Here is a 25,639-nt window from a genome sequence, read left to right as displayed (position 1 = left end):
TCCATCTCAAAAAGAAAACAAATATATAAATATATATATAAATATAGTGGAAATGATCAGGGCATCTAGGACATGGGCAGTCCCCTAATCGTCCCCAACACCATCTATCCTAGCCACCACCGAAAAGGCCTGGGTACATTCAGGAAGCAGCCATATTCTTCAGGAAATCATCAGCATCAATGAAGATGTGTTCAGACTTAGGGCAATGGGATGCTTTGCTGGGGTGTTTTTATAGCTGAGAATCCTGACCTGTCAAGGTTGTGCATGGTCTTGCTTTATTTTGGAGGGAAGATCAAATTATTTTCTAGAAGTGGTATAGCAGAAAACAGAAGAGGAGGTAAACAGAGCTGAGATGATTTACTAACTGTGTGATCTGAACTTTTCCAGCCTATTGTATCTGTAAAAATGAAATTGGATGCTTTGAAACATGTTTGACAGACTAAATGTGACATCCCCACTCCTGGTTCTAAATGCTCCAATTTCTTTTCCTCACTAGCTGAGGCGACAGCAGAGGATGGCGGTCAGTCTGGAGCTCCGAAAGGCCAAGAAAGATGAACAGACCTTAAAGAGAAGGAATATCACGAGCTTCTGCCCTGACACACCTTCTGAAAAAACAGCCAAAGGGGTGGCGGTCAGTATGTAGTGTTTAGAGTAGTCTTGGGCAAAATATGTTCTTAGCAAGTGTCTCTGGCTGGATAATATTTAATAGATTCAGAACTTGCAAACTCTCGTTTTGGGCTTTTAAAGAAAGGAGTGAAGAGATTATGGTTTGAGCTAAACTGCCTTTGTCAAAAGGCTAATGGCCATTACTCCTATGGCTCTGAGTCTGTGGAATCTAGATTCTAGTGGGGGATGGAGAGGATTTTTATTATACTTTTTATTTTTATTTTTTGAGACAGGTCTCACTCTGTCACCCAGGATAGAGTGCTGTGGCACAATCAGAGCTCATTGCAGCCCTAATCTCCCTGGGTTCAAGCGAACCTCCTGCCTCAGCTTCCAGAGTATGTGGGACTACAGGCACTCACCATCATGCCTGGTGAATTTTTTATTTTTTTATAGAGACAGGATTTTGCCATGTTTACCAGGAGGGTCTCGAACCCCTGGACTCAGGTGACCTGCCTGTCTCAGACTCCCAAAGTGCTGGGATTACAGGTGTGAGCCCCTGTACCTGGCCAAAAAGGTGATATTTCTAATTGAAAATTTACTTGCTATCCCTAAGCCTGAAAACCGAGGAAATGAGGGTTGGTGAAGGTTATTTCTCAGTAGAGGCATCTAGTCCCTGGATGGGTGAGGTCTTTCCTAACACTTTGACTTCTGTCCTGTCTTCCCTTCTCCATCTACCCCAACCTTATTAAATGCAGATCCTGGGTTGACTTCAAGGTTAGTCCGGTTTCTGTGAATACCGAATGCCTTGACCAGGAAGTTTTCCTTCTTAGCACCTCAATAATGGTGTCTCTATATTCTTTTGGGGTACACCACTGTCTGTCCTACCTTAACTACCCACATGCACCCTTTTTACCCTGCTTGGTTTAGGTCTCATAGAGGGCAGAGACTGGTTCCATTTTTGTCAAATTGGGTCCAATGATGTGTTCCCATTCATCAATGAAATGTGTACAGTCATTCTGAGTTGCCATAGGAGTCCAAACTATATCTCTAGTTAGCTTCATTTGTTTGGAGCAGTCCCTAGAATCCCCCCATCCAAGGATGGTATAAAACAAAAGGGAAAAAAGGCCAAGCACAGTGGTTCACACCTGTAGTCCTAGCACTTTGGGAGGCCGAGGTGGGTGGATCACCTGAGGTCAGGAGTTCGAGACCAGCCTGGCCAACATGGTGAAACCCCATCTCTACTAAGAATACAAAAATTAGCCGGGTGTGGTAGTGGGTGCCTGTAATCCCAGCTACTCAGGAGGCTGAGCAGGAGAGTTGCTTGAACCTGGGAGGCAGAGGTGGCACTAAGTCAAGATCGTGCCACTGCACTTCAACCCATGGGTGACAGAGTGAGACTCCATCTCACTCCAACAAACAACCCCAAAAAGTTGTTTTTCTTTTGGTCCCATATTAGCTTTTTTTTTTTGAGACAGAGTCTCACTCTGTCGCCCAGGCTGGAGTGCAGTGGCACGATCTTGGCTCACCGCAACTTCCGCCTCCTGGGTTCAAGCAATTCTTCTGCCTCAGCCTCCCGAGTAGCTAGGACTACAGGTGCCCACCACCACACCCAACTAATTTTTTGTATTTTTAGTAGAGACGGTTTTTTACCATGTTAGCCCGAATGGTCTCAACCTCCTGACCTTGTGATCTGTCTGCCTCAGCCTCCCGAAGTGCTGGGTTTACAGGCATGAGCCACTGTGCTTGGCATATTAGCATATTTTTTAAAGAAATGAAGGTATAATTCACATCAAAATTCACTCTTTAAGTGCCTAATCAGTGGTTTCTAGCATAGTCACAAAGTTGTGCAACCATTGCCACTAGCTAATTCCAGAACCTATTCATCACCTCAAATAGAAACTCCAGTCATTCAGGAGTCACTCCCCATTCCTCATCCCCCACCGTCTCTGCAAACACTAGTCTACTTTCTGCCTCTCTGGAATGACCTGTTCTAGACATTCCCTAGAAATGCAATCATATAAACATGTGAGCTTTTGTGTTGAGCTTTTATGTTTTCAAAGTTCATCCATGTTGTAGCATATATCAATACTTCATTCCTTTTGGGCAGAATGATAATCTGTTATATGGAGAGACCACATTTTGTTTATCCATTTATTTGTTTATAAGATGGAGTCTCACTCTGTCACCCAGGCTGGAATGCAATGGCACAATCTCGGCTCACTGCAACTTTTGTCTCCCGGGATCAAGCCATTCTCCTGCCTCAGCCTCCCGAGTAGCTAGGATTACAGGCATGCATCACCTGCTAATTTTATATTTTAGTAGAGATGGGGTTTCACCATGTTGTTCAGGCTGGTCTCGAACTCCTGACCTCAAGCAATTTGCCTGCCTTGGCCTCCTAAAGTGCTGGGATTACAGGTGTGAGCCACCGTGTCTGGCCTTGTTTATTTATTAATTGGGGGACTTTGGGTTGTTTCCACTTTTTGGTTGTTATGATGAATGCTGTTATTAACATCTGTGTACAAGTTTTTGTGTGGAAGGGTGTCTTCAGTTCCACTGAGAATAACTGGGTTATGAACTAAGCCTGTTTCACTCTTTGTGGTAGGCTGTATCGTGGCACCCCAAGTGTCTGCATCTTCTAGTCCCCAAACCTGTGAATATTACTCTATGAGGAAAGGGATGTAGCATATGTGATTAAATTAAGGATTTTGAGATAGAGAGGTGATACTGGATTATCTGGGTGGGCCTGGCATTCGATGATTCTTATAAGAAGAGCAATGTGATGACAAAAGCAGATGCCGGGCATGGTGGCTCATGCCTGTAATCCCAACACATTGGGAGGCTGAGGCAGGAGGATCACTTGAGCTGAGGAGTTCGAGACCAGCCTGGCCAACATGGTGAAACCGCGTCTCTACGAAAAATACGAAAATTAGCCAGGCCTGATGGCTCATGCCTATAATCCCAGCATATTAGGAGGCTGAGGCGGATGGATCACTTGAGGTCAGGAGTTCAAGACCATCCTGGCCAACATGGTGAAACCCTGTCTCTACTAAAAACATAAAAATTAGCTGGGTGTGGTGGCATGCACCTGTAGTCCCAGCTATTAGGAAGGCTGAAGCAGGAGAATAGCTTGAGCAGTGAGCTGAGATTGTGCCACTGCACTCCAGCCTGAGTAAGAGAGCGAGACTGTGTCCCCCCACCAAAAAAAAAATTCCAGCCCTTTGTCCATTTTTAAGTCAAATAAATTATTTTTTATTGAGTTGTAAGAATTCTTTATATATTCTAGATATTAAACCTTAGCAGATATGACTTGCAAATATATTCTGTTCTGTGGGTTGTCTTTTCACTTTCTTGATAGTATCCTTGGAAGCATAAAATTTTTTAATTTTGAAGAAGTCTAGTTTATTTTCTTGGTTGTTTGTGTTTTAGGTATCATATCTAAAAATTCATTGCCTAATCTAAGGTCACAAAGATTTGTGCCTATATTTCTTTCTAAGAGTTCATAATTTTAGCTCTTACTTTTAGGCCTTTGAGCCGTTTGGAGTTAATTTTTGTAAATGGTGAGAATGGGAGTCCAACTTTGTGCTTTTGCATGTGATACATAGTTGTACCAGCACAGTTATTTGAGACTATTTTCTACCCATTGAATTGTCTTGGTACCTTTGTCAAAAAAATCAATTGACCGTGAATGTGAGGGTTCATTTGTGGACTCTCAGTTCTCTTCCATTGATCTATACGTTTATCTTTGTCATCAAACAAAGGTTTGATTACTGTAGCTTTGTGGTAAGTTTCGAAATTGGGAAGTGAGTCTTCCAGCTTTGTTCTTTTTTTCAATATAATTTTGGCTATTCTGGACCCTTTGTATTTCCATATGAATTTTAAAATCAGATTGTCAATTTCTACAATAAGGGCAGCTCCGATTTTCATGGAGATTGCATTGAACCTATAGAATGGAGTCATTGAATTTATAAGGTTGGAGTATTGCCATCTTAACAATGTTAAGTCTTCCAGTCCATGAACATGGGATACCTTTTCATTTCAGTCCTTTTTTTTTTTTTTTTTTTTTTTCAGTTTGCAGCATATAACTCTTGGATTTCTTTCAATAAATTTATTACTAAGCATTTTATTCTTTTTATGTTGTAAATTAAATTGCTTTATTTTGATTTTTGATCACTGCTAGCATGTAAAGATACAATTAATTTTTGTATATCAATTCTGCAACCTAGCTGAATTTTATTAGCTCTAGGCTTTTGGTGTAAATTCCTTAGGATTTTCTACATATAAGATTAAGTCACTTGCAAATAGTTTTATTTCTTCCTTTCCAATCTGGGTGCACTTTATTTGTTGCCTAATTAATGCATCTAGAACTTCCAATGCCATGTTGGATAAAAGTGAAAAGAGCAATATCCTTGTCTTATTCCTGATCTTGGGGGAAATCTTTTAGACTTTCACCATTAAGTATGAGGCTACCTCTGAGTTTTTTGTAGATGCCTTTATCAGAATGAAGAAGTTTCCTTTTATTCCAGTTTGTTGAGTGTTTTTTTTTATTATGGAAGTATGTTGAATTTCATTAAATGTTTTTTCTGCATTGAGATGATCATGTGGGTTCCCCCCCCTTTATTAATACGGGGTACTATGTTGATTTTTTTTCACATGTTAAACCACTCCTGAATTCCTGAGTTAAATCCTAATTCATCATGATGACCAATATGTTGACCATATGTTTCATACGTTTAGGCATTTGGTTTCCTCCTATTTTGTTGAATTTTTGCATCAGTAGTTATAAGGGATATTAGCTTATACTTTTCTTGTAATATCCTTGGTTTGGTATCAGAGTAATACTAGCCTCTAAGAATGAGTGAGAATTTTTTTTTGTAAAGTTGGTAAAGTTTTTTTGTTGTTGTTTTTTTTGAGATGGAGTTTTACTCTTATCACCCAGGCTGGAGTGCAATGCTGCAATCTTGGCTCACTGCACCTCAGCTTTTTGGCCTTGATGCTTTCTGATAAGAAATCAGCTGTTAATCTTATTGAGGCTTTGTACATGAATTGCTTCTCTTTTGCTGGTTTCAATGTTTTTGATTCTGTAGTTTTGGCTTTCAACAGTTAGATTATAATATGTCTGGATCTTGGGATTTATTCCGTTTGGAGCTCATTGAACTTTTCAGATGTGTAGACTAATTATTCTATTGGATTTGGGAATTTCTTTGGCCATTATCTCTTTAAATATACTTTCTGCCTCTTTCCCTCTTCTCCTTCCTATTCTGCATTTGTTGGTATCCTTGATGATGTCCCACAGATCTCTAAAGATCTGTCAATTTTCATCTTCAGTCTCTCTTGTGTGTGTTATCTTCCTCAGACTGGATAATTCCAATTAACCTATCTTCAGCTTCACTGCTGCTTTATTATGTCTGCTTAAATCTGCTGTTAAGCCCCTTTAGTGAATTTTTGTTTCAGTTATTGTATTCTCCAATTCCAGAATTTGTATCTGGCTCCTTCCAATAACTGATATCTGTTCACTGATATTCTCTATTTAGTGTGACAGCATTGTTGCACTTTAGTTCTTTAGTCATGGTTTAGTTCTTTGACTATATTTAAAATCTTTGTCTAGTTCAACATCTGGTCTCCTCAGGGACTATTGCTATTGATTGCTTTTTTCACATATATATGTATATGTGTGTGTCACACTTTCTTTGCTTGTCTCACAATCTTTGTTGAAAACTAGTCATTTAAAATAGTGTGACAACTCTAGAAATCAGATTTTCCATTGCCCCAGGGTTTGCTGTTGTTGCTGGGTGTGCTCGTTTAGTAGTTTGAGCTAATTATCTAAAATCTGTATTTTTTTGTGATGTGTGGCTGCTGCAGTGTCTGCTTGGTTTGCTCAGTGGTCAACTAATAATTAGAGACTTATTTTAACACTTCGAACCACGAAGAAAAGAACACTCAATTTTTGCCAAGAAGCTCTGTGTTGGGGGCATGCGTTCACCACTCAGCCAGGCAGTTGACAATTCTGACGTAAGCCTTCACTTCCTGTTTGCACAGAGCTTCAAAGTCAGTGAGAGGGAAGAGCTGAGGGTCTTAGTTTTGTTGTTGTTGTTGTTGTTGTTGTTGTTGTTTTTAAGCATATGCATAGCCCTATACATGACATTCCCTTTCAAGTTTTTTTGTTAGCCTGTTGTTTATCCCAACTCTTATTCAACCTCTCAGGTAGCTGTGAAGTTAAACAACTTCCTCTGTTTTCAATGAACATTCTTAGGGAAAAGCCTTTTCATACTGACTAAGCTCTGAGTCAAAATAGTCTGTAAGTGGGATCTTTCAGGGAATGACCAGACAGATCAAATAATAATTTTCTGGGAATGAGGCTCCAAAGGAGGACCTACCTATTTTGCCTCTTCTGGTGGTTGGGAGGCTGTTGGTTTTTCACAATGATTGTGGACTGTTGGTTTTCAGGGTTACCATGGAGCTGAGGGTGGGTGGGAATAGGGCAAGTCAAAATGCCACAAAGCTCTCATGCTACTTACTGAGATTCAGCTGTCTTTCTTGGATAAACACTTCCTGGCTTGAATAAAACAATTGGCCGCAAGCCTTTGGTCAATTTCTACAGTGCTGAAAAAGTTGATTCTATTTTTGTCAGTTTTCTCTTTGCCTATGTGGAGGAGAGAATTTTTTGGATGTCCTTAGTCTGCCATTTTGTTTTGTATCCACTAGCACATTCTTACTGCACGGGATAAAAATGTTCTTGGGATCCAACTAATGATAGGAATTACTTCTCCCCTAAGCATGGGAAGGAACACACAGATCTGTGAGATCTGTGGACTATATTCTCCCCTCCCCAAATATAGAACAGCATGCAAGATGGGACATCCTGTTCAAGCCAGGCTGTTTTAATCAGATGGATGATGGCTAGAGTAGGTGATGTTTACAGCTCATTTTGGCAGACAGTCTGACCTGAATGTGTCTCTTCTTGCAGGTCAGCCTCACTCTGGGTGAAATAATCAAAGGTGTGAATAGCTCAGATCCAGTCCTATGTTTCCAGGCCACCCAGACAGCCAGGTATCTCCAAACAGACTTCTGCTGTTGCAGGTTCATAGTTAGCAATGAGCGTCAGTGATGGCTGGAGCGCCGGTGGCCTATTTGGTTTCTTGGCATTGGCAACATGCCCGTAAAACACAGGAAAAGGCTAGCCCATCTAAAAGACGAAATTGCTATTCTACACTGTCCTTGAGGGCAATTTAAAAGCTTCGATGTGTTGTCAGAGATGAATTGCTTAATTTACATTGGCCTCTACAGAAATTTCATCTTGTAGATAACACCTTAAAGGGGAAAATGTTGATTTAATACCGAAAAATGCTATCGGTTGAACACTAGGATCTTAAGTAGCTCCGGCCCAGCTATGTGGCTTATGTATAAAAGGAGGTTCTTTTTTTCTCTTTTGAGATGGAGTCTCACTCTGTCACCCAGGCTGGAGTGCAATGGTATGATCTTAGCTCACTGCAACCTCCGCCTACTGGGTTCAAGTGATTCTCCTGCCTCAAGCCTCCAGAGAAGCTGAGATTACAGGTGTGCACCACCACACCCAGCTAATTTTTATATTCTTAGTAGAGATGGGACGGGGTTTCACCATGTTGGCCAGGCTGGTCTCGAACTCCTGACCTTGCGACCTCAAGTGATCTGCCCGCCTTGGTCTCCCAAAGTGCTGAGATTACAGGTGTGAGCCACCGCACCTGGCCTAAAAGGAGGTCCTTAATACCTCTCTCACTTGACCTCCCCCTCCCCTGCCCTCTCTTTCATTGCATAGGAAAATGCTATCCCAGGAAAAGAACCCCCCTCTGAAACTGGTCATTGAAGCGGGCCTCATTCCCAGGATGGTGGAGTTCCTGAAGTCATCACTTTACCCCTGCTTGCAGTTTGAGGCTGCCTGGGCCCTGACCAACATCGCTTCAGGGACTTCGGAGCAGACTCGTGCCGTGGTAGAAGGGGGAGCCATCCAGCCCTTGATTGAGCTCCTGTCTTCCTCCAACGTGGCTGTGTGTGAACAGGCAGTGTGGGCTCTTGGTAATATAGCCGGTGAGACTCTCCCCTTAGTGGGCTAAGAAAACGGGGCCAGGTGTGTGGGATACTATAAGGTTTCTTTGGGTGGTGGGGTATACTCGATGTCCCAGAACACTTTGCCATGTAAATACCTAGAAGTGCTGGCAAGGGTACAATGAGCTGTTTCCAAACTCAAAGCCAGGCCAGGCACGGTGGCTCACGTCTGTAATCCCAGCATGTTGGGAGGCCAAGGCGGACGGATCACTTGAGGTCAGGAGTTCAAGACCAGCCTGGCCAACATGGTGAAACCCCGTCTCTACTAAATATACAAAAATTAGCCAGGCATGGTGGTGCATGCCCTGTAGTCCCAGCTACTCGGGAGGCTGAGGCAGGAGAATCGCTTGAACCTGGGAGGAGGAAGTTGCAGTGAACCAAGATAACGCCACTGTACTCCAGTGTGGGCAACAGAGGGAGATTCTGTCTCAAAACACCAAAAGCCCTCAAATCCAAGTTTAGAGGCCAAATATTGAAGCTGAAACAGGATGATACAGTGTATACTGAAGCCACAGGCTAACTAGAGACATCTGCCAACACTAAGGTCCTACAGCCTCAGGGCTTCGTGGCTTCAAGAACAAGTCTTTGGCTTATGCAGTGTGGGAGTTTATGATAGACCCTTACATAACTCGGGACCCCAGAAGGACTCTGCCTTCAGTGGAAGTTGCTAAGGGAACGTGCCAAAAACAAAAACAAAACAACAACAACAAAAAAAAACTCCTTGGTTTGGGCTAACAAGCCTTCCCTGAAAGTGGAATCCTCAGACTACCTTTCTGAATGTGGCAATCGATGCTCTTTCCTGCATGGTCTAGTGAATTAGTGCTGTAGGGTCGGAAGCCCCCAGATTCTTGGCTGACATCAATCCAGTGACTTTCTAGGGAAAACTCAATTAGGTCCCTCAGGATTTTGACAAATTAAGATCAGCCGACTATTAGCATTTTCAAGTTCAGAGAAGCAATAACTCCCGTGACTGAGTCAGCAGAAACAGTATGATTAGACCTCCAAGGACTCCACATATTGGAATTAGCAAACAGAATATAAAATAACTGCTAAAAGAAAACAAAAGCTTGCAGAGGCTTGGCGTAGTGACTCATGCCTTTAATCTCAGCACTTTAGGAGGCAGAGGTGGGAGGATGGCTTGAGCCCAGGAGTTTGAGACCAGCCTGGGCAATGTAGTGAGAACTTATCTCTACAAAAAATAAAAATATTCACCAGGCATAGTGGTGTATGCCTATAGTCCCAGCTACTCAGGAGGCTACGGTGGGACAATTGCTTGAGTTCTGGAGGTCGAGGCTGCAGTGAGCTATGATTGCACCACTGCACTCCAGCCAGGGCAATAGAGTGAGATCCTGTATCCCCCTCCCCCGCCAAAAAAAAAAAATAAAAGGCTGCAGGAGGAAAAAGTGCCTATTAGAGAAGTTGTCTCTCATTTTGCTTGGTGCAGTAAAGTAGGCAAGACTGGATGGTACAATGTGATGACTTGCCTTTGATGGTTGACAAATACAAATAGACTTCTAGGGTCTAAAATTGTTATCCTAGCTAAGGTAGCTGATGGCTGGTCACCAGCACCTGCAGATCCCCAGACTTTGTTCTGAGTTGCATTGGAAGTTACTGCCCTGTGCCAAGGTCTTCTGGGAAGACAACTTGGTCTGGACCAGCCTTCGTCTTCCTGAGAACCATGCTGTGAGATGCCAACAGCCCACCTTGGCTGAGTTGGCTGGCTCTGCTTCTAGCAGTTGCTGCTGTGTGATGCCTGCCTGTTACATCAGGACTGTCCACCCACCAGCCATGCCAGACTTCCAGAATTTAGTACGTGGCTCTACTACCTACTTGCTAAACCCGGGAATGAGTTTTTGTCTCTTGCCCTTTGCACACTCTTAAAAAATTAGTCACCCACTTCAGGATTGTCTTTGTTCTCTCTCTAAATGTCACATTCTGCTCTATTTGTAGGTGATGGCCCAGAGTTCAGAGATAACGTCATCACAAGCAATGCCATCCCACATCTCCTAGCCTTGATTTCACCCACCCTGCCGGTAAGTGTCTTTTTCTTTCTCTTTTTTTTTTTTTAAATTAAAATTTTAAAATAATCTTAATAGAGATGGAGCCTCACCATTCTGCCCAGGCTGGTCTTGAACTCCTGGCTTCAAGCAATCCTCCTACCTCTCAAAGTTCTGGGATTATGGACGTGAGCCACAGTACCAGGCCAAGTGGATGTCTTTAAATGAGAGAGAACCTCGTTAGGTAACAAATTCTAATGTTGGGAAATTGGGACATACTTCCAAATCCAATGCTAGATCATGTGGCTGCTGCCTGGCCTCTTAGAACCTCATAAACAAGGCTCAAGACTGGGCATGGTGGCTCATGTCTGTGATTCCAGTGCTTGCTAGGCCAAGACAGAAGGATCACTTGACACCAAGAGTTCAAAACCAGCCTGGGCAACATAGTGAGACCATGCTTCTAAAAATAAAAAAATTAGCTGAGCATGGTAGCGTACACCTGTAGTCTCAGCTACTCAGGAGGCTGAGGTGGAAGGATTGCTTGAGCCCAGGAGAGGGAGGCTGCAGAGAGCCAAGATCACACCACTGCACTCCAGCCTGGGTGACAGGTTGAGACTCTGTCTCTAAATAAACTAATAATAGCAAGGCTTAGGACTGAGTATCATTTTAGGTAAAGATTGACTCAGCTCTGTCTTTAGGGGCCAGTAGCACTGATCCTTCTCTTTGCGGCATTGGAAGAGGCCTACAAGCTTGCCATCTTGCAAAATAGATGACTGAAATCTCCATTCTAGGGTCACAGTTTAGCATATATGCCTGGTGTTCCATTATTGGAACACTAAGCCTGTGGGAGTTATTTATATCCTACTGCTCATGGTCATTACCAAGGTCTGATTTTTCACACAAAAAAATTTGCAACCTCTGGCATAAATGGGTTAATGTCTCACCAGTTCTGTTCATGGGGAACAGGCTCTTCTTTTGAGGCTTAGAGTCAAGGTTGGTTGATTTGTGGTTATTGATTGAAGAGGACTTCTGGTTTAGGAACTGGGTTCTCGATTTGCCTCAAACAAAAATGAAGAGCAGCCAGAGGACTATGTTCAAAACCTTCATCTGGGAACCGTGGCTCACACCTGTAATCCCAACAATTTGGGAAGCTGAGGCGGGTGGATCACCTGAGGTCAGGAGTTTGAGACCAGCCTGACTAATATGGCGAAATCCTATCTCTACTAAAAATACAGAAACTAGCCAGGCATGGTGGCACGTTCCTGTAGTCCCAGCTACTTGGGAGGCTGAGGCAGGAGAATTGATTGAACCTGGGAGGCGAAGGTTGCAGTGAGCCAAGGTTGCGCCACTGTGCCCCAGCCTGGGCAACAGAGCAAGACTCTGTCTCAAAACTCTTCAAGATGGGAGAAAAATCTGACATGGTTGAACCAATAAAAGACTAGCCATGACCGAGAGAGTTTAAGTAGAGAACACTTAAGATGGCAAGCAGGAAAAGGGCTTAGACATCTTCCTGCTAGCAGCAGGGAGGCTTTGGAGGATTTTGAGGCAAGGGAGTAGAGTGGTCTGATCTTTCAGAAAGGCCCTTCTGGTTGCCTGCCGTAGAATTATATAGCAGAGAGAGGCCGGATGCGGTAGCACTTTGGGAGGCCGAGGTGGGCAGATCACGAGGTCAAGAGATCAAGACCATCCTGGCCAACACGGTGAAACCCCGTCTCCTAAAATTACAAAAATTAGCTGGGTGTGGTGGCACGCACCTGTACTCCCAGCTACTCAGGAGGCTGAGGCAGGAGAATCTCTTGAACCTGGGAGGTGGAGGTTGCAGTGAGCCGAGATTGTGCCACTGTACTCCAGCCTGGTGACAGAGCAAGACTCCATCTCAAAAAAAAAAAAAAAATTGTATAGCAGAGGGAGATGGTGAAGCAGGTGGGTCTGGGACATAGCCATTCTAGACGTGAAAGGGAGACAGCAAGAAGCCAGGATGCCCCTAGGTTTCAGGTTAGATTGTTCAGATGATTGTCTTCCTAGAGAAAGGGGAAAAGTGCAGGAAAAAAAGAAATTGGAGCTTGTGTTGCAGGCATGAAGTTGAGGCGAGTTGGAGACACCATTGCAGCAGAGTCGGATTGACAGATGTACCTTGCTAGGTGACATATGTGTATATGTCACCCAGCCAGGCAAGGTCAGCTGGGGCCAGGGGTCACAAACATGACCTGGCTGGCCGCTTGCTTTGTAAATAGTTTTATCAAGCTGGGCATGGTGGCACGTGTCTGTAGTCCCAGCTACTTGGGAAGGCAAGGCGAGAGGATCGCTTGAGTTTGAGGCTGCAGTGAGCTGTGATTGCACCACTGCACTCCAGCCTGGGTGATGGAGTGAGACCCTGTCTCCCCCCAAAAAAAAAAAAAAAGTTTTACTGGCATGCAGCCACACTCATTTACATACTGTCTGGTCTACAAGGACAGTTGTTGTTGCCACAGAAGCCACAGGCTAAAAATGTTTAAGATCTGGCCCTTTACCGAAAAAGTTTTCAACCCCTGACCTAGAGTGTGAGGAGAGCCTGAGACCCAGTCCTGTGGGCTCTAAGGTTCTAAATTCAGGCAGAGCCTGCCAAAAAGACTAAGTAGAAACAGCTAATTTGGCCATAGAAAACCAGGTTTGGTGTCACAGTTGCCAAGAAGAGCTCTTTCTTTTTTTTCTGCTTTTTTTTCTGCTTTTTTTTTTTTTTGAGACAGAGTCTTGCTCTGTCACCAGGCTGGAGTGCAGTGGTGCAATCTCAGCTCACTGCAACCTCCGCCTCCTGGGTTCAAGCGATTCTTCTGCTTCAGCCTCCCGAGTAGCTGGGATTACAGGCACATGCCACCCCGCCTGGCTAATTTTTGTGTTTTTAGTAGAGACGGGGTTTCACCATCTTGGCCAGGCTGGTCTTGAACCCCTGACCTCATGATCCACCTGCCTCGGCCTCCCAAAGTGTTGGGGTTACAGGTGTGAGCCACCACGCCCAGCCGAGAGCTCCTTCAAAAAGAAAGGGCTGACTACTAACCACAGCTGAGAGGGACAGTAACTTTAGGACCAAGAAGCAGCTGCTGTGTTTGGTGACTTGGAAGGAGCTGATTCCCATCCCTAACCCCAAAGAAGGGTTAGAAACATGACTAGAATGGCCTGAAGAACAACTGGAGGCCAGGCGCTTATGTCTGTAATCCCAGCATTTTGGGAGGCCGAGGCAGGAGGATCCCTTGAGCCCAGGAGTTTGAGACCAGCCTGGGCAACATAGCAAGACTTTCCTCTACAAAAAGCATGTCTAGCCACAGCTACTCAGGAGGCAGAAGTAGGAGGATCACTTGGGCCTGGGAGGTTGAGGCTGTAGTGAGCTATGATCACGGCACTGCACTGCAGCCTGGGCAACAGAGTGAGACCCTGTCTCAACAAACAAACAAAAAACCCCAACAATTGGGAATCTGGGAGGTAGACAGTGAATATAGATGCCTCTCTGAGGGTAGACTCTGAAAGACAGAAGTGTGATGATGGCTGAAAGGGGCAGAAGGGGAGGGGCTGACAGTCCCAGGGTATGTTTCCTTACTGGTGGGAGTGATTTGGGGGCAGGGATGATTCTGGGCGGAATCTTTAAAGGCAAAAAGTAAGGGCCAGGTGTGGTGACTCAGGCCTGTCATCACTTTGGGAGGTGGAGGTAGGCAGATCACTTGAGCCCAGGAGTTGAAGTCCAGACTGGGCAACATAGCAAGACCCCTGTCTCTACTAAAACTAAAACTAATAATAAAAGGCCAAAAGGGATGGGATCCAGAGGCAGAGTAGGAAGACTGATTCTCAATTAGAAGATTAGAAATCTGGGGATGACATGCCAGTAGTGTTTTAGACCAGTGGGAAGACCAAGTAACTCCTGCTTGATCTTGTTGTCAGTGAAAAATGAAATTAGGTCATCAATCAAATGGGAAAGGACATTTTGAAAGACAAAGGAAACCTCCATCTAACATTGGAATGTGAAATACGAACCTCGTTCTGTGTCCCTAATACACATCACTGCCTAGAACACATTTCTATTTGAAGTTCAAAAGCTCTCGTTCAGTCGGGCACAATGGCTCACCCCTGTAATCCCAGCACGTTGGGAGGCTGAGGCCGGCAGATCACTTGAGGCCAGGAGTTCAAGACCAGTCTGGGCAACATGGTGAAACCCCATCTCTACTAAAAATACAAAAATTAGCTGGGCGTGTGTGGTGGCGGGCACCTGTAATCCCAGCTACTCAGGAGGCTGAGGGAGGAGAATCACTTGAATCCAGGAGGCAGAGGTTGCAGTGAGCCAAGATTGCATCACTGCACTCCAGCCTGGGTGACAGAGCAAGGCTGTCTGAAAATAATAAATAAAATTTTAAAAAGCTCTGGTTCATGCTGATCTATGGTATTGATTGGAAATGGTAAGAACACACTGCTGTTTGCATTTTCTCTCCTTTGCACCCAATGCTGGAGGCAGTCTCCTTGTTACAGATCACATTTCTGCGGAACATCACGTGGACCTTGTCGAATCTGTGCCGAAACAAGAACCCATACCCTTGCGACACTGCGGTGAAGCAGATACTGCCGGCCCTCCTTCACCTCCTGCAGCACCAGGACAGTGAGGTTCTCTCGGATGCCTGCTGGGCACTGTCCTACCTCACCGACGGCTCCAACAAGCGCATCGGCCAAGTGGTTAACACGGGGGTCCTGCCCAGGCTGGTAGTGCTCATGACCAGCTCAGAACTCAATGTCTTGGTAAATGCAATCCTGGGCCCTGTGGATTCGAGTCCTCGGGTCATAGTCACTTTAGCAGGTTCTGGGGCAAGGTTTGTCATCTGCATTTCCCTGGTCTTTGCTTTTTTTTTTTTTTTTTTTTTTTTGAGACAGAGTCTTGCTCTGTCACCCAGGCTGGAATGCAGTGGCACAATCTCAGCTCATTGCAACCTCTGCCTCCCAGGTTCAAGCGATTCTCCTATCTCAGCCTCCTGGGTAGCTGGGATTATAGATGCCAACGACCACGCCCGGCTCATTTTGTATTTTTAGTAGGGACAGGGTTTTACCATGTTGGCCAGGCTAGTCTCGAACTCCTGACCTCAGGTGATCCTCCTGCCTCGGCCTCCCAAACGACTGGGATTAGAGGTGTGAGCCACTGTGCCTGCCCATCTTTGCTACTCTGTGGCCAAAAGCTTGAATCTATTTTGATGTCAAATCCTAGTGGGTTTTTTTTTTTTTTTTTTTTTTTTTTTTTTTTTTTTAAAAAAAAAGGCCGGGCACGGTGGCTCACAGCTGTAAAAATACAAAAATACAAAAATTTATTTGTAAAACACCAAAGAATTAACTGAGTGTGATGGCGCACAGCTGTAATTCCAGCTACTCGGGAGGCTGAGGCAGGAGAATTCCTTGAACCCAGGAGGTGGAGGTTGCAGTGAGCTGAGATCGTGCCACTGCTCTCCAGCCTGGGTGACAGTGACATTCCATCTCAAAAAAAAAAAAAAAAAATTAGCTGGGTGTGGTGGTGCATACCTGTAGTCTCAGCTACTGGGGAGGCAGAGTTGGGAGAATTTATTGAGCCCAGAAGTTTGAGGATGCAGTGAGCTGTGATGGCACACTGTACTCCAGCCAGAGTGACAGTGAGACTGGGGATTAAAAAAAAAAACAACCCATTATCCTCTCCCCAGTTTGTTCTCTTAGACTAGCTCAGATATAGGCAGAAAGCAAGTAAAACCATTACTAATTGCTTTTCTAGGTTATTATTTTTTTTGTGTGTGAGACGGAGTCTCTCTGTCATCCAGGCTGGAGTGCAGTGGTACAATCTTGGCTCACTGCAACCTCCACCTCCCGACTTCAAGCAATTCTCTTGCCTCAGCCTCCTGAGTAGCTGGGATCACAGGCACCCACTACCATCACGCCCAGCTAATTTTTGTATTTTTAGTAGAGACAGGGTTTCACCAGGTTGGCCAGGCTGGTCCTGAACTCTTGACCTCAGGTGATCTGCCCACCTCAGCCTCCCAAAGTGCTGGGGTTACAGGCATGAGCCACTATGCCCTGCCGCTTTGCTATGTTATTAAACATGTCACCTACATCATATACTGCTTTGAAATGTGGGTGCATTATATTGAAGATGTCTCTATGCTGCCTGCTCTTTATTTTCTTAATATTTTACCTAATATTGCATATTCTGCAGCCTTAGTGATCATCTATTTTGAGATTAGCATAGGACTTCTCAGATGTTGAGTTGGTTTCGGGATAGTGCTAGGGGCATGGAGAGTATGAGATAAGACAAGCCATTTTTGTTGTTGTTGTTGTTGTTTTTTGACAAAGTCTCACTCTGTTGCCAAGGCCGGAGTGTGGTGATACAATCTTGGCTCCCTGCAACCTCTGTCTCCTGGGTTCAAGAAATTTTCCTGCCTCAGCCTCCCAAGTAGCTGGGACTACAGGTGTGCACCACCACACCCAGCTAATTTTTGTATTTTTAGTAGAGACGGTGTTTCCCCATGTTGGCCAGGCTGGTCTCAAACTCCTGGACTCAAGTGATCCATCCGCCTCGGCCTCCCAAAGTGGAGAAGTAAATTCTCTAAGAAGTTGCTTACCCCCGGGTTCTGGGGCCTATTTGGAGCTGCCCTGGTAAGGCCATGACTGGCCTGAAGTACACTTCTACCTCTCACTTTGGTATCAGGTAAGTAGCCTAATAGGCTAGGAAAATTCTAGAACTGTTGCTGGGCTTTACTGGGGCTGCCACTACAGTACAGAGAAATCTGAATAAAGCCATAGTCAGCTATTGTAGGAGAGTTGTTGTTTTGAGCCCAATCGTAGACCTGTCCTGGGGATCTTCTGAGCCATTATGAAGGGCTTCCCAATCACACCAGGAAATGGCATTGAGATCTCATTATCTCCAATTAAATATGCAACACGCTTGACACTGATAAATACTAATTCAGTCATTATACGATAAAGAGTATAGTCACTGGGCGCAGTAGCTCATGCCTATAATCCCAGCACTTTGGGAGGCCGAGGTAGGCAGATCACTTGAGGTCAGGAGTTCAAGACAAGCCTGGGCAACATGGTGAAACCTTGTCTCTACAAAAGATACAAAAATTAGCCAGGCATGGTGGTGCACACCTGTAATCCCAGCTTCTCAGGAGGCTGAGGCAGGAGAATTGCTTGAACCCAGGAGGCAGAGGTTGCAGTGACAACCAAAATCGTACCACTATACTCCAGTCTGGGTGACAGCAAGACCTTGTCTCAAAAAACAAACAAACAAACAAAACACTATCGTCAATTTAGCATTTGATGATGAAACTGAAAGCATATGAAAAGTCCAACAGCATTTCTCGATAAAGGTATTTCTTGGGTATTTCTGTCCCACTTGAGCCAAACAAGTGGGAAGCCAGAAAGTTCCTTTAAGTCACCTTTAAACATCCATGGGCCAGGCACAGTGGCTCATGATTGTAATCCCAGCACTTTGGAAAGCCAAGGCAGGATCACTTGAGACCAGCCTGGACAACATAGCAAGACCCCCGTCTCTACAAAAAACTTAAAAATTAGCCGGGCATGGTGGCACATCCGTATAGTCCCAGATACTTGGGAGGCTGGGGGAGGAGGATCACTTGAGCCCAAGAGTTGAAGGCTGCAGTGAGCTATGATCATGCCACTGCATTCCAGCCTGGGTAACAGTAAAGACCCTGTCTCTTTATAAATAAATAAATAAAAAATAAATTAAAAGGCCATGGATGAATTGAATAATGATCACAGATACAATTCCTGTTCACAGGCTGTCAGACAACCATCGGCTATAGCATGACAATGTTTGGGAGAGAACAGAACTTGGTGTGATTGTTGCCTTCTCCTGGGATAGACTTGAAATACTTAGACTTCTAGCCTTGCTCTTCCAGACTCCTTCTCTCCGCACCGTGGGGAACATTGTCACGGGCACAGATGAGCAGACGCAGATGGCCATTGATGCGGGTATGCTGAACGTGCTCCCCCAGCTCCTGCAACACAACAAGCCCTCCATCCAGAAGGAGGCAGCCTGGGCCCTGAGCAACGTAGCAGCGGGGCCTTGTCACCACATCCAGCAGCTGCTTGCCTACGACGTCTTGCCTCCCTTGGTGGCTCTGCTAAAAAACGTAAGTGGCGCACACAGCAACCATGGCAAAGGACTACTTTCCAATAGCCCTGGGTTGAACTCCTTCAGGAATCCAGACACAGGTGCAGAAGCAAATTGAGATCACAGCAGAGCTCTGAAACCTCAGAGTCCTAGCTTTGCCTGAAAAAAAGGAAGGGGGCGTTCCATTCTGAAGAACCCATTAAAGATTTGGAAGACGGAACAAGCATTATTCAATGACAAGGTGACCCCATGGCTCAAACATCCAGAAAGCTCTTGAGCTAGTAAATATTGGCTTATGTCTAAGCGGTGGTGAAAGAATGTGCCATCTATTCTCTCCCTACCAAAAGAGGGTGGAGCTTTTATTTTTAGGAGGAAAAACATATCATGCTATGGTGATATCATACACTGAAGGAAAGCAAAGTTAAATTGATTAAAGTGGTAATGTCAACAAAATTCAAATCTAAACATAGAAAAACAACAAAGCAGGCTGAGTGCAGTGGCTCACGACTGTAATTCCGACGTTTTGGGAGGCCCAGTCAGGTGGATAGATTGAGTTCAGGCGTTTGAGACCAGCCTGGGCAATGTGGCGAAACTCTTTCTCTACAAAAAATATACGTATACAAAAATTAGCCAGGCTTGGTGGCATATGCCTGTAGTCCCAGCATCTTGGGAGGCTAAGGTAGGAGGATCAATTGAGCCCGGGAGGTCAAGGCTGCTGTGAGCTAAGATCACACCACTGCACTGTAGCCTCTGTGACACAGTGAGACCCTGTCTCAAAAAAAAAAAAAAAAAAGGTTGTGGGCAGGCACAGTGGCTTATGTCCGTAATCCCAGCACTTTGGGAGGCCAAGGCAAGTGGATCACCTGAGATCAGGGGTTCGATACCAGCCTGGCCAACATGGTGAAACCCCATCTCTACTAAAAACACAAAAAATTAGCCAGGTGTGGTGGTGGGTGCCTGTAATCCCAGCTACTTGGGAGGCCTAAGACAGGAGAATCACTTGAACCTGGGAGGGTGGAGGTTGCAGTGAGCCACGATCATGCCACTATACTCCAGCCTGGGCAGCAAGAGTAAAACTGTCGCAAAAAAACAAAAACAAAAAAACATTATTTCTCCTGATTTGTACTCCCCTTTTGCAGGAGCAATGACTATCCTTGGCATTTTTCTTTTTGCCACCTTTAAAGGAATTAGCTATGTTTAAACCATCTATAGTCAGGAGTGGTTACCTTGGGCTGGGGGTGGGGAGGCAGGTGGAGTCTCATGGGGTTGAGGAGAAGCTACTGGCGGTGTTCCTGTTCTCAGGCTGGGTAGTGAGTTCCCAGGATGCACCAGGTATGACAAGCTAGGCAAGAGAGAAAGACCAGGTGTGTTGCCCAAATTATAGCATCTTCCAATCTGTTCAGTACTTGTGGTCCTGCACGCCTCTGTAAATCTGTACATATTCTAGTGAGAAACATCTAGTTATGAATCAAAGGACATTTATATTTCAAGTGGTATCTTTTGAACTATAACTTGCTTGGAGCCATAAGTTATTTGTTTTGTTTTGTTTTTTATGCTGAGGTCAGTTTTCCCCAACCATAAAATGGGAATAAATCCTACCCAGGAATAGAAGAATAGAAGATAAATTCCTCCTGTATCTCTGGCCAAGTGCATTTTATAAATGCAAAGGTTTATTGAGCAATTATTATTATTATTGGAGATGGAGTCTCGCTCTGTCACCCAGACTGGAGTGCAGTGGGACAATTTTGGCTCACTGCAACCTCTGCCTCCTGAGTTCAAGTGATTCTCCTTCCTCAGCCTCCTAACTGGGATTACAGGCACACGCCTCCACACCCGGCTAATTTTTTGTATTTTAATAGAGACAGGGTTTCACCATGTTGCCCAGGCTAGTCTCTAACACCTGAGCTCAGGCAATCTGCCTGCCTCAGCCTCCCAAAGTGCTGGGATTGCAGGTGTGAGCCACCGTGCCCGACCTGAACGATATTTCAATGGTCTTTCTCTGTCACCTCTGGGCTGGCTTGGTCCCTTAGGTTGTATCTGTGTACCCAGGCTTACAGCTTCTTGGCCAAAGCTTTACTAGATCAGAAAGACTAGAAATGCAGACATAGGCCACTGTCATCTAAAACCCCAAGCATAACTCCTAGTCTGTGTAGATTACCTGAATTGGTTAATGTCCGTTTCATTTTTTCCCTGTGGCCTGATGTGGGCAAATGAGCCTATCTGATCTTAGAGCTTCCCTCTAAGACCCCACCTGAGTCTCCTGCCTTCTTGGCTTTCCAAAGATGCCATCTTCTGATCAAGAACTAGAGGCAGGAGCCGGGCAGGGGGTTCATGCCTATAATCCCAACACTTTGGGAGGCCGAGATGGGAGGATCACTTGAGGTCAGGAGTTTGAGACCAGCCTGGCCAACATGGTGAAACCCTGTCTGTACTAAAAATACGAAAATTAGCTGGGTATGGTGGTGAGTGCCTGTAATCCCAGAACTTTGGGAGGCTGAGCGAGACAGGCGCATCATGAGGTCAAGAGATCGAGAACATCCTGGCCAACATGGTGAAACCTGTCTCTACTAAAAATATAAAAAATTAGCTGGGCGTGGTGGCACACACCTGTAGTCCCAGCTACTCAGGAGGCTGAGGCAGGAGAATCGCTTGAACCTGGGAGGCGGAGATTGCAGTGAGCTGAGATTGCGCCACTGCACTCCAGCCTGGGCGACAGAGTGAGGGGGGAAAGAAAGAGCTAGAGGCAGGTAGCCAAGGCATTCTATGTAAATTGTACATGCAGTCCTGGCTGTCACCAGCCTCCCTAGAAAGTGAACCAAGTTGGTGTCCTCTATTTAGGTTCTTGAGGATCTGTAGAGAATGGAAACATTCTTGTTCTGCAGGGAGAATTTAAAGTCCAGAAAGAGGCTGTCTGGATGGTGGCGAACTTTGCAACAGGGGCCACCATGGATCAGCTGATCCAGCTCGTCCACTCTGGGGTCCTGGAGCCACTGGTGAATCTGCTCACTGCCCCAGATGTTAAAATTGTTCTCATCATCCTTGATGTCATCTCTTGCATCCTCCAGGTGAGCCGTTCTGAACAGGTTGGTTTGTAAATAGCTGTCTCCAACTGGATACAAGCATTTAATGTGGCTCTTAAAATTCAAGTTGTACTTTGGGAGGCTGAGACAGGTGGATCACCTGAGGTCAGGAATTTGAGGCCAGCCTGGCCAACATAGTGAAACCCCGTCAAATTAGCCGGGAAAGGTAGTGCATGCCTGTATCCCAGCTACTTGGGAGGCTGAGGTGGGAGAATCGCTTGAAACCCAGGAGGCAGAGGTTGCAGTGAGCCAAGATAGTGCCACTGCACTCCAGCCTGGGCGACAGAGCCAGACTCCGTCTCAAAACAAAACCCAAGTTGGATTATTTCTCTTCCCCCAATACCTCTACCCTCCTCTGTCCATGTGTCCTGTGGATAAACACAAAAAGAGCCATCTCGAAGGACCATGGTCTTCGTTTTCTCAAACAAATGTCTATGTGCCAGATATTTTTTCAGATGCTCAGACTATGACAATGCAAAGTCCCTGCTGTAATGGACATTATGTATGAGGGGAGTGACAGAGAACAGACACATCAGGTAGGGAGTTATGGATAAAGTAAATCGGATAAAGGGGCAGTCACTAATAGTTCAGGGTGGGGAGTGGCTGTAGCTGTCTTTATAGAGACAGAGACAGAGAAAGACAGACGGAGAGAGAGACACAGACGGAGAGAGAGACACAGACGGAGAGAGAGACACAGACGGAGAGAGAGACACAGACGGAGAGAGAGACACAGACGGAGAGAGAGACACAGACGGAGAGAGAGACACAGACGGAGAGAGAGAGAGAGACACAGATGGAGAGAGAGACACAGACGGAGAGAGAGAGAGAGACACACACAGAGAGACACACACACAGAGAGAGAGAGACAGACGGGGAGAGAGAGACACAGACGGGGAGAGAGAGAGATGGGGAGAGAGAGAGACACAGACGGGGAGAGAGAGAGAGACACAGACGGGGAGAGAGAGATGGGGAGAGAGAGAGACACAGACGGGGAGAGAGAGAGAGACACAGACGGGGAGAGAGAGAGAGACAGACGGGGAGAGAGAGAGACACAGACGGGGAGAGAGAGAGAGACACAGACGGGGAGAGAGAGAGAGACACAGACGGGGAGAGAGAGAGAGACACGGGGAGAGAGAGAGACACAGACGGAGAGAGAGAGAGACACAGACAGAGACACAGACGGGGAGAGAGACACACACACAGATGGGGAGAGAGAGACAGAGACGGAGAGAGAGACGGGGAGAGAGAGATGGGGAGAGAGACAGAGACGGAGAGACGGAGAGATGGACAGAGACAGATGGACAGAGACAGAGACAGACGGAGACAGACGGAGACAGAGAGATAGAGACACAGAGAGAGAGAGACAGACAGAGATAGGATCTCTGCTCTGCCACCGAGGTTGGAGTGCTGTGATCCTCGCTCACTGCAGCCTTGATCTCCTGGGCTCAAGCAATCCTCCCACCTCAGCCACCTGAATCACTGGCACTACAGCCAGATGCCACCACACCTGGCCAATGTTTGTATTTTTAGTAGAGACAGGGTCTTGCTATATTGCCCAGGCTGTTCTCTAACTCCTGGGTTCAAGTCATCCTCCCGCCTCAGCCTCCCAAAGTGCTAGGATTACAGGTGTGAGCCACCATGCCTAGCCAAGAGGATTGGCTTCTGAGGAGGCTTACACGATGACCGGGAAGTCACTTGGACACATGGACCTTCTCCATTGGGCTGCCTGAGTGTCCTCACATCACGGCAGCTGGCTTCCTATGAGTAAGGGGTCTAAAAGCAAGGTGAAGGCCTCAGTGTCCTTCATGACGTGACCTTGGAGGTCACATTCTGTCACTTCCACAACATCCTATTGGTTACACAGGTCATCCCCATTCAATGTGGGTGGGGAACTACACAGGGTTTGAGCACCGGGGGTCAGGGATCATCAGGGCAGTTTTGGAGGCTAGCTAGGTTCATTTGGTTAGGGTCCTTTTAAAAAATTACTGTTTTTTGGCTGGGCATGGTGGCTTACACCTGTAATCCAGCACTTTGGGAGGCCGAGGTGTGCAGATCACCTGAGGTCAGGACTTCAAGACAAGCCTGAGCATTGTGAAACCCCATCTCTACAAAAAAATTAGCCAGGCATGGTGGCTCATGCCTGTAATCCCAGCTACTCGGGAGGCTGAGGCATGAGAATCACTTGAACCTGGGTGGTGGAGGTTGCAGTGAGCCAAGATCATGCCACTGCACTCCAGCTTGGGCAACAGAGCAAGAGTCTGTCTCTAAAAATAAATAAAAATATAAATAATATAAATATATATATATATTTTGAAACAGGATCTCACTCTGTCACCCAGGCTAGAATGCAGTGTTGTGATCTCAGCTCACTGCAGCCTCAACTTCCTAGGCTCAGGTGATCCTCCCACCTCAGCCTTCCAAGTAGATGGGATTACAGGCTTGTGCTACCACACCCAGCTAATTTTTGTATTTTAGCAGAGACAGGGTCTTGCTATGTTGCCTACACTGGTCTCAAAGTCCTGGGCTCAAGTGATCCTCTCACCTCGGCCTCCCAAAGTGCTGGGATTACAGGAATGGGCCACTGTGTCCAGCTTAGCTAAGGTTCTTTTATAGGTGACAAAACCATCTGAAAATCTTCAAAGTAACACCAAGGAGCTCCTTTTAGAAGTCCACTTTAAGCATCTTTTTAATGTAATTTTCTTGAATGATCTGAGTCAAGACTAGATTAGAAACTCAACCCCATGATACCCTGAAACTTGAGCAAAAGACACAGATAAAGAATAGATATTTGGGCCAAGTGCATTGGCTCATGCTTGTAATCCCAGCACTTTGGGAGGCTGAGGTGAGAGGACCACCTGAGGTTAGGAGTTCAAGACCAGCCTGGCCAACATGGTGAAACCCCATCTCTACAAAAATACAAAAAAGCCTGGCATGGCATGTACCTGTAGTTTCAGCAACTTGGGAAACTGAGGCAGGAGAATCTCTTGAACCTGGGAGGTGGGGAGAGTAGTGAGCCAAGATTACGCCACTGCACTCCAGCCTGGGCGATAGAGCGAGACTCTTTTTTTTTTTTTTTTTTTTTTTTTTTTTTTTTTTGAGACAAAGATATTTGGGCCAAATGCAGTGGCTCATACCTGTAATCCCAGCACTTTGGGAGGCCAAGGCAGGAAGATTGCTTGAGGCCAGGAGTTGGAGACTAATCTGGGTAATGCAGCAAGATCTTGTCTCTACACAAAATGTTAACAAAATTGTGATACCTTCTGAGTCTTCCCTGTGTATCTTCTTTATTAATTTTTTTTTGAGACTGAGTCTTATGCTGTCATCCAGGCTGGAGTGCAGTGGCGCAATGTCAGATCACTGCAACCTCTGCCTCCTGGTTCAAGCAATTCTTGTGCCTCAGCCTCCTGAGTAGCTGGAATTACAGGCACCTGCCACCACGCCCAACTAATTTTTGTATTTTTAGTAGAGACGAGGTTTCACCATGTTGGCCAGGCTGGTCTCAGACTCCTGACCTCAAGTGATCTGCCTGCCTCAGCCTCCCAAAGTGTTGGATTACAGGCATGAGACACTGCGCCCGGCCCTATATTTATGATATATGTCTATATATCGTGGATACCTAAAGTGGGAGGAAGATCATGTAATTTTCAACCAATTTGGGAAAAGTGAAATTGCAACTATCCATTCTGGAATGGTAGCCTTTGGTCTGCTTCCACTCGGGGCAGCTCCCTTGAGGGCTGACAGAGTCCCTATCCCCCAAAGGCTCCTGCCGG

General features: G+C 45.6%; 1 protein-coding gene across 11 annotated transcripts in view, besides 1 other annotated feature; it reads left to right on the top strand.

Annotated features, from left to right (window-relative positions):
• Positions 1 to 25,639, top strand: part of KPNA7 (karyopherin subunit alpha 7) — a 73,616-nt gene that overhangs the window by 15,683 nt on the left and 32,294 nt on the right. For 8 of the 11 annotated variants that reach the window (XM_017012211.2, XM_011516215.3, NM_001145715.3 and 5 more), the window contains exons 3-9: positions 497 to 631; positions 7,571 to 7,653; positions 8,399 to 8,667; positions 10,636 to 10,718; positions 15,174 to 15,437; positions 18,575 to 18,808; positions 21,672 to 21,854. In XM_017012211.2, the coding sequence (XP_016867700.1) occupies positions 497 to 631; positions 7,571 to 7,653; positions 8,399 to 8,667; positions 10,636 to 10,718; positions 15,174 to 15,437; positions 18,575 to 18,808; positions 21,672 to 21,854 (1,251 nt within the window). Of the gene's footprint in view, positions 1 to 496; positions 632 to 7,570; positions 7,654 to 8,398; positions 8,668 to 10,635; positions 10,719 to 15,173; positions 15,438 to 18,574; positions 18,809 to 21,671; positions 21,855 to 25,639 lie in introns of those variants that run through there. The other 3 variants (XM_017012209.2, XM_017012215.2, XM_017012216.2) reach the window with 3 other exon arrangements.
• Positions 12,737 to 13,031: a silencer, noted in NCBI's record as "tiled region #10979; K562 Repressive non-DNase unmatched - State 21:Repr". NCBI's record gives its function as "represses a minimal TATA promoter and a strong SV40 promoter by Sharpr-MPRA in K562 cells {active_cell/tissue: K562}" and the evidence as "EXISTENCE:reporter gene assay evidence [ECO:0000049][PMID:27701403]".

The sequence above is a fragment of the Homo sapiens genome, chromosome 7, assembly GCF_000001405.40.
Source record: "Homo sapiens chromosome 7, GRCh38.p14 Primary Assembly".
In the NCBI taxonomy this organism is placed as follows: Eukaryota; Metazoa; Chordata; class Mammalia; order Primates; family Hominidae; genus Homo; species Homo sapiens.
This window is presented reverse-complemented; position numbering and strand designations above follow the sequence as displayed.